At 37.0% G+C, this 14,578-nt stretch overlaps 1 annotated feature.

Annotated features, from left to right (window-relative positions):
• Positions 10,591–11,186: an enhancer, noted in NCBI's record as "OCT4-NANOG hESC enhancer chr6:57811262-57811857 (GRCh37/hg19 assembly coordinates)". NCBI's record gives its function as "activates a minimal SCP1, AML or CMV promoter by ChIP-STARR-seq in primed H9 embryonic stem cells {active_cell/tissue: H9 hESC(primed)}" and the evidence as "EXISTENCE:reporter gene assay evidence [ECO:0000049][PMID:30033119]".

The following is a 14,578-nucleotide window of genomic DNA, read 5'->3' on the forward strand; positions in this document are numbered from 1 at the left end:
ACTTTTGCAGATGGAACCCTTCCAGTGCACACTCACTAGCAACCTCCCCTCATCACCTTGTTGGTGTGTGCACACATGCATACAGAAACACCACTGCCCCACTGGCTAACACACACACAGGGCCCCCTGCTACTCCACCAGCGTGCACATGTCTGGGTCTCATCTACCACTCTGTTGGTGTGCATTCATCCATACTCTACCCACCCCATTGCTGCACTAGTGCACAGTTGCCTGCAGCTGCCTCGCTGGTGCACACTCATCCAGGACCGTCTGCTGAAATGCACTCTCCCACGGTGCACCTGCCATCCTGCCAGAGCACTTTTGCTAACAGCTCCCATCAGAATGTTATTGCCAGTGGACTGGGAACACCTCTTCCCCTCCAGTGCAGTTGGTGCTTGGCCTTGAGGAACCGGAAAGCAAAACCAGGGTCCTGGTCCTAGACCGCATTGTTAGAACACGCAGCCCAGGAATGCTGAGTTAAACACTGGCCCCCTGAAGATATCCAGAAATGAAGCCAATTGACTAAACCCAACTTATACCACAGTCAAACCCTCAAGGACAACAAAGAATTGAAAAGCTAAAAGCCCCATTCACAAGGCCAGCAACTTCAGAGATTAAAGGAACATTAGCACACACAGATGAGAAGGAACCAATGCAAGCATTCTGGCAACTCTAAAAGCCAGAGTGTCTTCTTGCCTCCAAATAACCACACTAACTTCCCAGCAGTGGTTCTTAACCAGACTGAAATGGGTGAAATGACATAGAATTCAGAATCTGGATGGCAAGGAAACTCAATGAGATCCAGGATTAGGTTGAAACCCAATGTAAGGAAACCAGTAAAATGATCGAATGAAAGATGACACAGCCATTTTAAGAAAGAAGCAAACTTAACTTCTGGAAATAAAAAAATTCCCCAAAGGAATCTTATAATACAAATGGAAACATTAATAACAGAATAGACCAAGCTGAGGAAAGAATCTCAGAGCTCAAAGACCACTTCTTCCAATCAACACAGGCAGACAAGAAATTTTTTTTTTAATTTTAAATGAATAAAACCTCCAAGAAATATTGGATTATGTAAAGAGACCAAACCTATGACTCGTTGGCATTACTGAAAGAAATAGAGAGAGCACAAACAGCATGGTAAACGTATTTGAGTGTATAGTCCACAAAAATTTCCCCAACCTTGATAGAGAAATTGACCTGCAAATTCAGAGAACACCTGTAAGATCCTATACAAAATGACTGTTGCCGAAACACATAATCATCAGATTCTCCAAGGTCAACACAAAAGAAAAAAAAAATGCAGCTACAGAGAGGGGCAGGTCACGTACAAAGGGAACCCCATCAGGCTATCAGCAGAAACCTTACAAGCCAGAAGAGACTGGGGGCCTATAACCAGCATACTTACAGAAAACAAATTCCAACCAAGAATCTCACTTTCACCCAAACTGGATTTCATGAGTGAAGGAGAAATAAAATCCTTTTTCAGACAAGCAAATGCTAAGATAATTCATTACCACTAGACCTGCCTTATAAAAGGTCCTTCAGGGAGTGCTCAACATGGAAATGAAAGACTGATGCCTGTCACCACAAAGACACACTTAAGAACATAGCCCACTGATGGTATAAAGCAACTACACAATCAAGTCTACAAAACAGCCAGCTGAAAACATGATGATAGGGTCAAATCCTCACATATCAATACTTACCTTGAACATAAATGGGCTAAACACCCCACCTAAAAGGCAGAGTGCCAAGTTGGATAAAGAAGCAAGACCCAACTGTACATTGTCTTTAAGAGACCTGTCTCACATGCAATGACAACATAGGCTCAAAGTAAAGGAATGGAGAAATACCTATCATGCAAACAGTAGACAAAAAAGAGCAGGGTTGCTATTCTTATCTCAGACGAAACAGACTTTAAACCAGTGATGATCAAAAAGGACAAAGGAAGCCATTATATAATGATAAAGGGTCTATTCAACAAGAAGATTTAACTATCCTAAATATATATGCATCCAATCACACCAAGATTCATAAAATAAATTCTTAGAGACCTATGAAGATACTTACATAACCATGCAATAATACTGAGAGACTTCAACATACCACTGAAAGCGTTAGACAGATCATGAAGGGAGAAAACTAACAAAGATATTTGGGACTTGACACTTGACCAAATGGACCTAACGGACATCTACAGAATTCTCCCACCCCAAAACAACAGAATATACATTTTTCTCATCTGCATATGGCACATACTCTAAAATCAACTGCATCCTCAGCCATAAAGCAATTCTCAACAACAACAACAACAACAAAAAATACCAATCACATTCTCAGACCATAGCACAATAAAAATGAAAATCAATACCAAGAAGTTCTCTCAAAATTAAACAACTTGCTCCTGAATGACTTTGGGGTAAATAATAAAATTAAGATGGAAATTTAAAAATTCTTCAAAACTAGTGAAAACAAAGATACAACCTGCCAGAATCTCTGGGACACAGCTAAACTAGTGTTCAGAGGAAAGTTTATAGCACTAAATGCTCACATCAAGAAGTTAAAAAGTTCTCAAATTACCAACTTAACATCACACCTAGAGGAACTAGATAAATAAGAGCAAATCAAGCTCAAAGCTATCAGAAGAAAAGTAATAACCAAAATTAGAGCTGAACTGAAATAAATTGAGATGCAAAAATCCACACAAAAGACCAATGAAATCAAAAATTGGTTCTTCAAAAGAATAAACAAGACTGATAGACTGCTAGCTAGATTAATAATGAAAAAAAGAGAGATGATCCAAATAAACACAATCAGAAATGACAAAGTGGAAACTACAACCAACCCCACCAAAATACATAAAACCATCACAGACTTTTACAAACACTTCCATGCACACAACCTAGAAAATCTAGAATAAATAGGTAAATTCTTGGAAATATACAACCTCCCAAGATTGAATCAGGAAGACATTGAAATCCCAAAACGACCAATAACAAGTTCCAAAATTGAATCAGTAATAAAAAAAACTACAAAAAAAAAAAAAAAAAAAAGCACTGGACCAGATAGATTCACAGCTGAATTCTACTAGACATACAGAGAAGAGCTGGTACCAATCCTACTGAAATTATTCCAAAAAACTCAGGAGGAGAGACTCCTCCCTAACTCATTCTATGAGGCCAGCGTCACCTTGATATCAAAACCTGGCAGAGACACATTGAAGAAAAAAACTTGAGACCAATCCCCATGATGAGCAGAGACACAAAAATCCTCAACAAAATACTAGCAAACCAAATCCAGCAGCACATAAAAAACAAATCCATCACAATCAAGTAGGCTTTGTTCCTGGATGCAAGGTTGGTTCAACATATGCAAATCAATAAATGCAATTCACCACATAAACAGAATTAAAAATAAAACCACATGATCATCTCAATAGAAACAGAGAAGGCTTTCAATAAACTTCAACATCCTTTCATGTTAAAAACCCTCAACAAACTAGGCACTGAAGGAAGTTACCTCAAAATAGTAAGAGTCGTCTATGACAAATTCACAGCCAACATCATACTGAACAGACAAAAGCTGGAAGCATTCCCCCTGAAAACTGGAACAAAAGGATGCCCTTTCTCACCACTCCTATTTAACACAGTACTAGCCAGAACAATCCAGCAAGAAAAATAAATAAAAGGCATCCAAATAGGAATAAAGGAAGTCACACTATCTCTTGTCACACCTGATATAATTCTACACCTAACAAGCCCCATAGTCTTTGTCCAAAGACTCCTAGAACTGATAAACAACTTCAGTAAGGTTTCAAGATAGAAAATTGACATACAAAAATCAGTAGCATATCTATAACACCAACAACATCCAAGCTGAGAGCCAAATCAAGAATGCAGTCCCATTCACAATAACCACAAAAAGAATCAGATACCTAGGAATACAGCTAACCAGGGAGGTGAAAGATCAATACAACAAGAATTACAAAACACCACTGAAAGAAATCAGAGATGACACAAGCAAATGGAAAAACATTCCATGCTCACGGATTGGAAGAATCAATATTGTTAAAATGGCCATACTGCCCCAAACAATTAACTGATTTGACGCTATTCTTATCAAAATGCCTATGTCATTTTTCAAAAAATTAAAAAAAAATTCTCAAATTTATATGGAACCATAAAGAAGCCCAAATAGCCAAAGCAAGCCATGTGTATAAGATTGAAACTGGACCCCCCCACCTTTCACTACTTACAAAAATCAACTCAAAATGGAATAAAGACTTAAACATGAGACTAAAAGTATTAAAACCCTAGTAGAAAACCTAGGAAATACCATTCTGGAGATAGGTCTTGGCAAAAATTTCATGACAAAGTCTCCACAGAAATTGCAATAAAAATAAAAATAGACACATGGGACCTAATTAAACTAAAGAGTTTCTGCACAGCAAAAGAAACTATCAACAGGGTAAACAGACAACCTACAGAATGGAAGAAAATATTCATAAACTGTGCATCCAACAAAGTTCTAATATCCAGAATCTGTAGGGAACAGAAAACCTAATACCATGTATTTTCACTTATAAATGGGAGGTAAACATTGAGTACACATGGACTCAAAGGTGGGGACAATACACACCAAGGCCTATTTGAATGGGAAGAGTGGGAAGAGAGTGAAGGTCAAAGAACTGCCTATCAAGTACTGTGCTCGCTACCTGGATAATGAAATCATTTGTACACCAATCCTAGTGACACATAATTTACCCATGTAAAAAACCTGCACATGTACCCTCTGAACCTAAAGTAAACATTGAAAGACAAAAATATCCTAAATTAAGTATAGTAGAATAAAAATTTAGTGAACAATTGGCCTTTGTCTAATATATGCCTGTCTTCTTTGCTCTTAGAAAGTTCTAATAATGCATTAAGTATTTGTGGTGCCCTTATTAAATCTTAAATTACCTAGTGAACATATACATACATATCTAACCACATAAACCTTGGGGAAGGTTAACCAAGCCTTTCCTTCGGATATCAAGTCTATGGTTTATTTTATTCCACTCAAAAATGAGATTAAGCAAGGGATAATTACTTATGTAGAAGATTTCAGCAATTTTTTTTTCAAAAAAAATACAGTTTGGAAATAGCAAATGACTGCTATAACCAACTGAGCAATTACATCCCTTTTTAATAGTGCATAAAAACATGCACTCATTAACCCTTGTTATGATAGTATGTGAATAAATTGACATCACTTGTTTCTTTGGATTACCTGGCCTTTTTTTTTTTTTTTTTTTGAGACGGTGAGACGGAGTCTTGCTCTGTCGCCCAGGCTGGGGTGCAGTGGCATGATCTCAGCTCACTGCTACCTCTGCCTCCTGGGTTCAAGTGATTCTCCTGTCTCAGCCTCCCTAGTAGCTGGGACTACAGGTGCGTGCCACCATGCCTGGCTAATTTTTGTATTTTTAGTAGAGACGGGATTTCACCATGTTGGCCAGCATGGTATGGATCTCCTGAGCTCGTGATCTGCACGCCTCGGCCTCCCAAAGTGCTGGGACTACAGGCGTGAGCCATTGTGCCCAGGCCGATTTATCTTTTAAGATTACAGACTGGCCATTATCAGCTCAATGGCTTTTTAAAAATGTATAATTACATATGCTAATTATATGTAAGGACAGAGTTCAAATGTTATTATTCTTACATTTGCTTTCTTGCCTGCTAAATGAAAGGAAACAATTCTCATTTTCAAATAAAAAGTCTTTAAATGGCACATTTCATTCTTTAGAGTAAATTCACAAAATTAGGCTCTTCTCATATTGCTATAAAGAAATGTCTGAGGCTGGGTAATTTATAAAGAAAAGAAGTTTAATTGGCTTATGGTTCTGCAGGCTGTACAGGAAGCATGATGCTGGCATCTGCTCAGCTTCTGGGGAGGCCTTAGGAAGCTTACAATCATGGCAGAAGATGAAGGGGGAGGAGGCAGTTCACATGGCCAGAGCAGGAGCAAGAGAGAGAGCAGGGGAGATGAGCAGGGGAGATGCCACACTTTTTAAACAACTAGATCTTATGAGAAATTCACTCACTATCACCAGGACAGCACCAAGAGGACAGTGCTAAACCATTCATGAGAAATCCAGTCCTGTGATCCAGTGACCTCCCACCAGATCCCACCTCCAACATTGGGGATTACAACTCAACATTAGATTTGGGCAGGGACACACATCCAAACTATATCGTTTACCATAATACAAAAACAAAGACAAAAATGGCCTGAAGTGTGCTTTATGAAATCAGTTGTGTTACTGAATTTTACATTCTAAAAGAGCTCTACTTACTACCTGGGTGATGGGATCATTTGTACACCAATCCTCGGCAACACGCAATTTACCCATGTACAAAACTGCACATGTACCCCCGAATCGAAAACAAAAATTAAAAAAAAAGAAATTACGTTAAAAAAATAAAATAACACTTCAATTTAAATAACTCTTCTAAATATCTGTCTTTTTTCTTCAGAAATCAGATTAACATTGAAATAGTGAGACTCTGCTATGCTAGGAAAATGTATTTGTATTAGTCCATATCACATATATTTCAGTTGAGAGACTTATATTTCTCAATTAAAAATTAAAACAAAATATGATATTTTCCTCTTCTAATAGCACAAAAATCCTGAATCCTTCAGAAAAAGGAAAAAAAAAAAAAAAAAAGGACTCTGCTATGGGGCACATAGTTGACCCTGTTTTTTCCTAAAGTCAAGTAATAGATATGTTTAAGAAAAATGAAGTTAATATTTTCTCAGGAAAAAAGTACATCTGTATAAATTTTTTTAAGTTCGAGTTTTTACTTTAAATGGTTATTGTTGTAACAACACATAAAAATTATTGCCATTATTGTAAGATTTCAGAGACCTAAACATACAAGGCTAATTGTGCTCCTGTACATAAATGAGTCATGTATAAGAATAAACGATTAAAACTCCCAAATCCAAAAAAAGGAATCATTTTGTAGCATATATAAATTCAAATTTTGTTACAGCAAAAAAACAAATCTGTCTGAAGAAAAAAGCAATCAGATAATCTATACATATAATTGACATATAATAAAACTGGGCATTGATTAAATTCAGTAATATTTCAAATGCTAGTATTTTCTTTAAACTGAAAGGAAATGTATCATTCAATAGAAATCTTAGTTATACTAGAATACAACTATCAAAATGTCCTACTAAGATTTTTATCTAATTTTAAGTAGCCTAGCCAATGAAAACAAACACTCAGTGGTTCTAAATTGTTTGTATTTGTGCTACCTTTGAATCTGACCACAACAATTCTAGTAGTCAACACTAATATTGAATTAATTCTGGTATTACACACTCTAAACAGGGTCATACAGGACAGCAGAGTATGCATTCACTTTCACAGTATAAGAATGTCTTAGTACATTTAAATATATTGTCATATTATTCTTTGCCCATTATTATTGTATGGGTATTTGTTTAAAAGTAGTTATTGTCCTCATAGGGTCTCCAGTATATACCATCAGGGGACATTTTGGAATAATCTAATAAATATGTTACTTTGCTTGTTACCAGTTTGACATCATAATAAGCCCCTTGCTTCTGACTCACAATGAAGTGTACGTACATTTCCCTCAACACAATGTTACATGAATTGATCCTACTTTCCTGAATCACCATTTATGAATAAATATATCCAGGAGGAAAAATTTTTCCTCTGTCCTCTCAGGTTGAGTGTCCTGTTAAATTGAAAAAAAGGCCAATTAACAAGAGAAAAAGTTTGTTCATATGTAAAATGAAATTAACAAAAGAAGTAGCCAGCTCTTTAAATGGGTAAAGTTACAGACTTACATTCCCAATAAAGTTTCCATGTCTATTTCTTATCTTAAGTGCCTCCTATTAGGGGAATGAATAAAATAATTATATAGAAAGGATGGACTAATATACATTCATTAATAACTTGCTTAATGTATATCATGAATAAATTTCAAAATCAATGTTCAAAGTAAAACAAAACAAGTTTATTTATATAATTTTTTAAAAATACCCAAATGGTATCTATTTCATTCATGGATACATGCATATGTAGACAGTAGAAAACATGGATGGTAATAATATACATGAACTTCAGAAGTGTGGTTAACACCTAGGGGAAAAAGATTTAGCTATTGTTGCAAATCTTTTTTAAGACAGAAGGAGAGAGGGAGAGAGAAAGAGGGAAGGAAGGAGGGAGGGAAGGAGGAAATTGTTAATATATATTTAATTTCAGTGGTGTATACATAAATGTGATATTTTCTCTACATTTTATTATTTAAACATTTTTAAAGTTTTAATTTTAACTTAAAGCTCATATAATTTTAATCCCTCTGAAATTTTCGGAGAAAAATATCGTTTTTGGCTCGATCTATCCATTTATACTGGAAATCAAGCCAACAACCTAGAAACTCGAATCTCTCTCTCATCTAGAAAGAAATCACAATGCGCCGGGCATGGTGGCTGATGCCTATAATTCCAACACTTTGAGAGGCCAAGGTGGGTGGATTATGAGGTCAGGAGTTCGAGACCAGCCTGGCCAACATAGTGAAACCCTGTCTCTACTGAAATCAAAAATTAGCTGGGTGTGGTGGCACGCGCCTGTATTCCCAGCTACTCGGGAGGCTGAGGCAGGAAATCGCTTGAACCCAGGGTGGAGGTTGCAGTGAGCCGAGACCGTGCCATTGCCCTCCAGCCTGGGTGACAAAGCAAGAGTCCATCTCAAAAAAAAAAAAAAAGAAGAGAAAGAGAGAGAGAAAGAAATCAGAATCTATCTTCTTCTTTCCTCAAGAGAGCTGGGCAGTTATAAAAACTGCTTTCTTCCTTTAGTATTTTCACGTACCAAAATGGGAAGAAGTAAAATGGTACAAGTACCAAACTGCCTCTAGCTACAGAGGGGAAAAAAATGAAATTGGCCTCTTAAGGGGTTGAAGGGCTTGGAGAATTCACATGTTAGGTCATACTTCTTTGATTTCCACCCTCCTCTGTAGGAATGAATATTAGGAACAATCATAAGTATGTCAAGGTCATGTTTACCTAATTCCAATGAAGCCAGTCATAAATCTCAAATTGTTAACCATCTGCAGGGAATGAGTGGATCTTTTTTTTTAGAAGCCAAGTAGTTAAAATGGAAAAATGTGTTTAGTGTGAAAAGAAACTGGAGTGTTTCTATATTAGATAAGGGAACAGTCCGTGACCACATAATGTCATTAATGTGATCGGAAATTATGTGGTCTTTTAAATTGCTTTATTTCCCTCAGCAGAATATTAATTTCAGGTGAGTAATTTAAATTGCATTAACAGCAGCCTCCTTAAGATGACACTTCATTTAGTTTTGAAAGTTACTGCTGTTTAAGATATCCCCCAGCCTGCCATTTCACACTGGTGCTAACTTGTGCCAGATTGTATATTGTTTCTTTCAAAATACCATGGGGGTGTCAAATGCTTTATTGCAAACCTGCTGCTTTATGGGAATATGCAATGTAAATAAACCAGAGAGACACTTCTGTAAATTGCCCTATTTTAGATGGAAAATGTTTCAATTAGATATATGAAATCAACTGACAGTTTTATGAACCAAACCATTTTGAAAATATCCTTCACATGCACTAGGTATCATCATATTTTCAGAGACCATATGTTGTAAAGTAGATCCACAAGATCTTCAAGAACAGGCAAACTTATACTCAGCATGAATTTCTATCCTAATGCCTTTATCTCCTTCACTAACAAAAGTCCAGGTAAGACAACTTTCAAAATCACTAATTTGGTAGAAAGGGAAGTATCAAAATAATGTTTAAAAATTATCATGGTTATTTTCCTTATGAAAACAAGATACACGCACATTCCTGCACTCTTTCCTGGACCATCAGTCCAGTAACGCAAATAGAGACAGACCATCAGAACCTGGGACAAGGGCTACAGGGTTAAAGACATGTTTTTGTAAGCAATCTTTGTTAGGAGCCTTAAAAACCAACTCATAACATGGATAATCATTTGCAGGAGAATAAGAGTTTCATGGGTGACTGAATGAGATTATTAAATGGCTCAAGAAACTTCACAGTAGTAGCAAATAAATATATAATTTGAATTTACCTTTGATCTACCAAGCCCTTCTTAAAGGAAGGATACATTCATAATTAGATTTGACAAAGTCGTTGGTTCAATCCCCTTCTCTTTATCAAATAACCCTGTTTTTTCTTTTTCTGTTCCTTTTTCCTATTATCATAAATGGTTTACAAGCACCTTCAGAGATATATAATTTTTTTTATTTTTACAATACAAGGTCTTTGCTTTCCCAACCATAATTCCTTCTGACACACTTTCCTTTTCTCCTATAAACTCTCTATTCTAATCTGTGACACCTCTCTCCTGTGACTCACATGCTCTCTGAATTTTGCTTCCTGGCAGCTGCTTTTCTGTGCTGCCATTGCTTATTCTTTCGAGCTATTCCCATGCTGTTCAACTCAGCTGCCATGATACTGCTGTCCCTGGCTGTTAGCTGCCTCCTGAATCCAGCTCACATACTCCAGAGCCATCTTTCCAGCAAGGGAGTTTCAGGCCATTGACTCCACTCCAGCAAATCACTGATTTGACTGAGTATATCTTTCTAATTCTCATTTAATATAGGATGGAACAGATTATTTCTACAGAAACCCTAAGTTTTAAAAAGAAAAAATGCACAACATTTCCAGAAGACCAGCAGCAGGAGCGACATTCCAGAACCTTGAATTTAAGGTGCTTCCTGTTTACTTCTCTGTGAATTATCATTGCCACCTCTGTGAAATCACCTAGCCACATGAGGTAGCAAAGCTGCCTGCCACCCAGCGGGCTGCAGGGGTAAGTGTGCATTGCTATAATCCTCAAAGAGGGAAATTTGAAAACCCTTGAGAAAATAATGACAAAGAAGGATCTAAATTGCACAGCAGGAGCCCAATAACCTAGCAAAGAACATACAGTGATGTGGGATGTTGAGAATAGATATTTCTTGAATTATAGGTAATCTAAAGTTAGTCTCTGTTAAAAACATAAGAAAAAGTAACCTAGAAAGAAGAAAACACATTACCTTTCTTATATTAATCACAAATACAATAATACATTTTAGCCTTCAACAAAAACTGGCAGAATGTTCCAGAAAACTGGTCTGTTTCTTTCATATTCATGAAATGATGCAAGAAGTAGAAGCAAAGTATAAACAAGGAAATCAAGAAAGTCTTAGCTATGGTGACTTTACTATATTTCCTTCCATATGTAAGTTGCTTTTAGGGTGCTTCTTTTTTAAAAGATTATAGAGATGGGATAACTCTAAATGAGAAAGCCTTTAGCCCTAACTCCTGATAAATAAATATAATCTGGGTCATTTGTCATTGTTCCCTCGACACACTGTGTAGCAAAAAGCAGCAGGACTCTGAAGACTGATGCTGCACTCACATGGGCTGAGCAGAAATAACACTGTTTAGTCCCAGGAACTAAAGGAAATTTGTAGGCTTATTTAATTTTAGCCCATCTTCAAATGGCACTATAAAGTTGTAGGAAAGCAGATATTGTCATGGTAGCATGAAAAATATAGAAACCAAGGCTCCAGAAGAACAGGAGAATGGAGCCATTTGCAGGTCAAGGGATTAGGAACTCAGCTATGGATCAGCCAGAACAGTAGGAGCTGCTACTTTAAGATGTGCCCTAAGATGGAAGGGCAAACAGCTAGGAAAGCCTGTCTGCCTGCCTGCCTGCCACCCTCCCTCCCTCCCTCCCTCCCTTCCTTCCTTCCTTCCTTCCACTGTTGTTAGCCTGGGCTGGAATGCAATGGTGCTATCTTGGCTCACTGCAACCTCCGCCTCCTGAGTTCCAGCAATTCTCCTGCCTCAGCCTCCCGAATAGCTGGGATTACAGGTGCACGCCACCACACCCAGCTAATTTTTGTATTTTTCAGTAGAGATGGGGTTTCACCATGTTCGCCAGTCTGGTCTTGAACTCCTGACCTCAGGTGATCCGCCCACCTCGGCCTCCCAAAGTGTTGGGATTACAGGCGTGAGCCACCGTGCCTGGCCCAAAGCCTCCTTTTAAACAGGAATCTCCCTTTCCATTCTTTAACATATAATTCACATGCCTCTAGATTGAGATGATATCTAAAGTGTTCTGTGCCTACCTCTCCGACTATGGTCAGCCTATATCACAGCCTTTCAGAAAATTCCTTCCTCAGAGGAACACAGCTTGTTTTCCCAGGGTACCTTTTTATTTCTTATTACAAAAATCCTTTAGTTTAGATACGAAAATTTATTTGCTCCTTAGGGATCCTGTTTGACATATCAGAATATGTTTTCAATATTTTTATTGTGGTAAAATATACGTAATATAAAATCATTTTAGGCCGGACACGGTGGCTCACGCCTGTAATCCCAGCACTTTGGGAGGCTGAGGCGGGCAGATGACTTGAGATTAGGAGTTCAAGACCAGCCTGGCCAATATGGCAAAACCCTGTCTCTACTAAAAATACAAAAATTATTTGGGCGTGGTGGCAGGTGCCTGTAATCCCAGCTACTCAGAAGCCTGAGGCAGGAGAATCACTTGAACCCATGGGGAAGAGGTTTCCATGAGCAGAGATCCTACCAGCCTGGATTACACAGGGAGACTCTGTCTCAAAAAAAGTATTTTAAATCATATTAACCATTTTTAGATATACAGTTGAGTGGTATTAAGTACATTCACATAGTTGTGCAACTATCACCATTATGCATCTCCACAAATTTTTCATCTTCCCCCAAAGGAACTCTGCACTTATTACACAATAATTCACTTTCTGCCCTTCCCTTTCTGCCTAAAAGCAAGGCATACATTTCTCTTTGTAAAGGTGAGATAAGTTCCTATTTGTAAAGGTGTTCCCGTGTCCTGTACCAGGAAGACCACAAACAGCACTGAGATGAGACTGCATAACAAACCTTACTAAACATTCTGTATCTACCATACATTTCCTAGTACCTTCCAACAATTTATCATCGTTAGAAACCCAATGTTCTTTTCATTTTCTAGTTACTTCTCCACAACCTATCGCCCTTTGTTAAAATGGTACATAAACCCTTGAGTCTAACCACTTCTTTTTTTTTTTTTTTTTTTTTGAGACGGAGTCTCACTCTGTCACCCAGGCTGGAGTTTAACCACTTCTTTGGGTTTTCACTTCCTTTCTGTGAAGTTCCTGTACATGTAAAAATATTAAAATTTGCATGCCTTTTCTACTGTTAATCTTTTTTCAATTTGATGAGTGTGCCCCAGATAGAGAACCTAACAGGATAGAGGGAAAGTTTTTCTTCTCCTAAACTACTTTATTTCTCTATAAATTTGACTATTTTAGGCACCTCACAGAAGTACAATCATACAGTATTTGTCTTCTGTGCCTGTCTCATTTACTTAGTATAATGTTCTCAAGTTTCATCCATGCCACAGCAGGCATCAAAATTCCATTCCTTTTTAAAGTTGAATAATATTCCATTTTATGTATAGACAACATTTGGTTTATCCATTCATCCTTCAATGGACATTTGGTTTGTTTATACCTTCTGGCTATTGTGCATAATGTTACTATAAATAGTGGTGCACAAATATTTGTTCAAGTCCCTGCTTTCAGTTCTTTAGTGTATATATCCAGAAGTGGAATTAGTAGATCATATGGTAATCTATGCTTAATTTGTTGAGGAACCACCATACTGTTTTCCATAGCAGCTGTACCATTTTACATTCCACCAGCAATTTCTCCACATCCTCACTGATATTTCTTATATTTCATTTTTTAATAATAGCCATCCTTCATTCTATGGGTATGAAGTGTTATCTCACTGTGGTTTCAATTTGCACTTACCTAATGACTAGTGATGATGAATAACTGATATGTCAGATTTACAGCTATTTTATTTCTTTCCTTGTAACTGCATTTATTTATTTTTCTCTCTTTAGAACTTTATTGGCATTATAACTTATATACAATAAAATGCATATATTTAAGGTATGCAATTTGATAAATTTTGACAAAAGTATACATCTTTGAAACTGTCACCACACATTAAGACAATCCATCACTCCCTAGAGTTTCTTCTTGTCTTTTTATAACTCCTCCCTGCCACACCTCCTCTCCTTACCTCATCTGCTGGCAAGCACTGATTATCTACTTTCTGTAATTTTAGATTCACTGGCATTTTCTAGAATTTTATGCAAATAGTTATAGAATATGTACTATGAGGTCCATCCATGTTGTTGCATATATCAATAGTTTATTCCTTTTTACTGCTGAGCAGTATTCTATTATATGGATATATCACATGTTATATACACATTTACCTGTTGATGAATATTTGGATTGTTTCTAGTTTTGACTATTACAAATAAAGCTGCTACAAATAGTCCTGTATAGTGTTTGAATTGAGATAATATTTTCATGTCTCTTGGATAAATATTGAGAAGTGAAATGGCTGGGTCATTATTAATAATTTCATTATTAACTATTTAGGGAACTGTTTCATTTGTATTAGAGTTC

The sequence above is a fragment of the Homo sapiens genome, chromosome 6, assembly GCF_000001405.40.
Source record: "Homo sapiens chromosome 6, GRCh38.p14 Primary Assembly".
Lineage (NCBI taxonomy): Eukaryota > Metazoa > Chordata > Mammalia > Primates > Hominidae > Homo > Homo sapiens.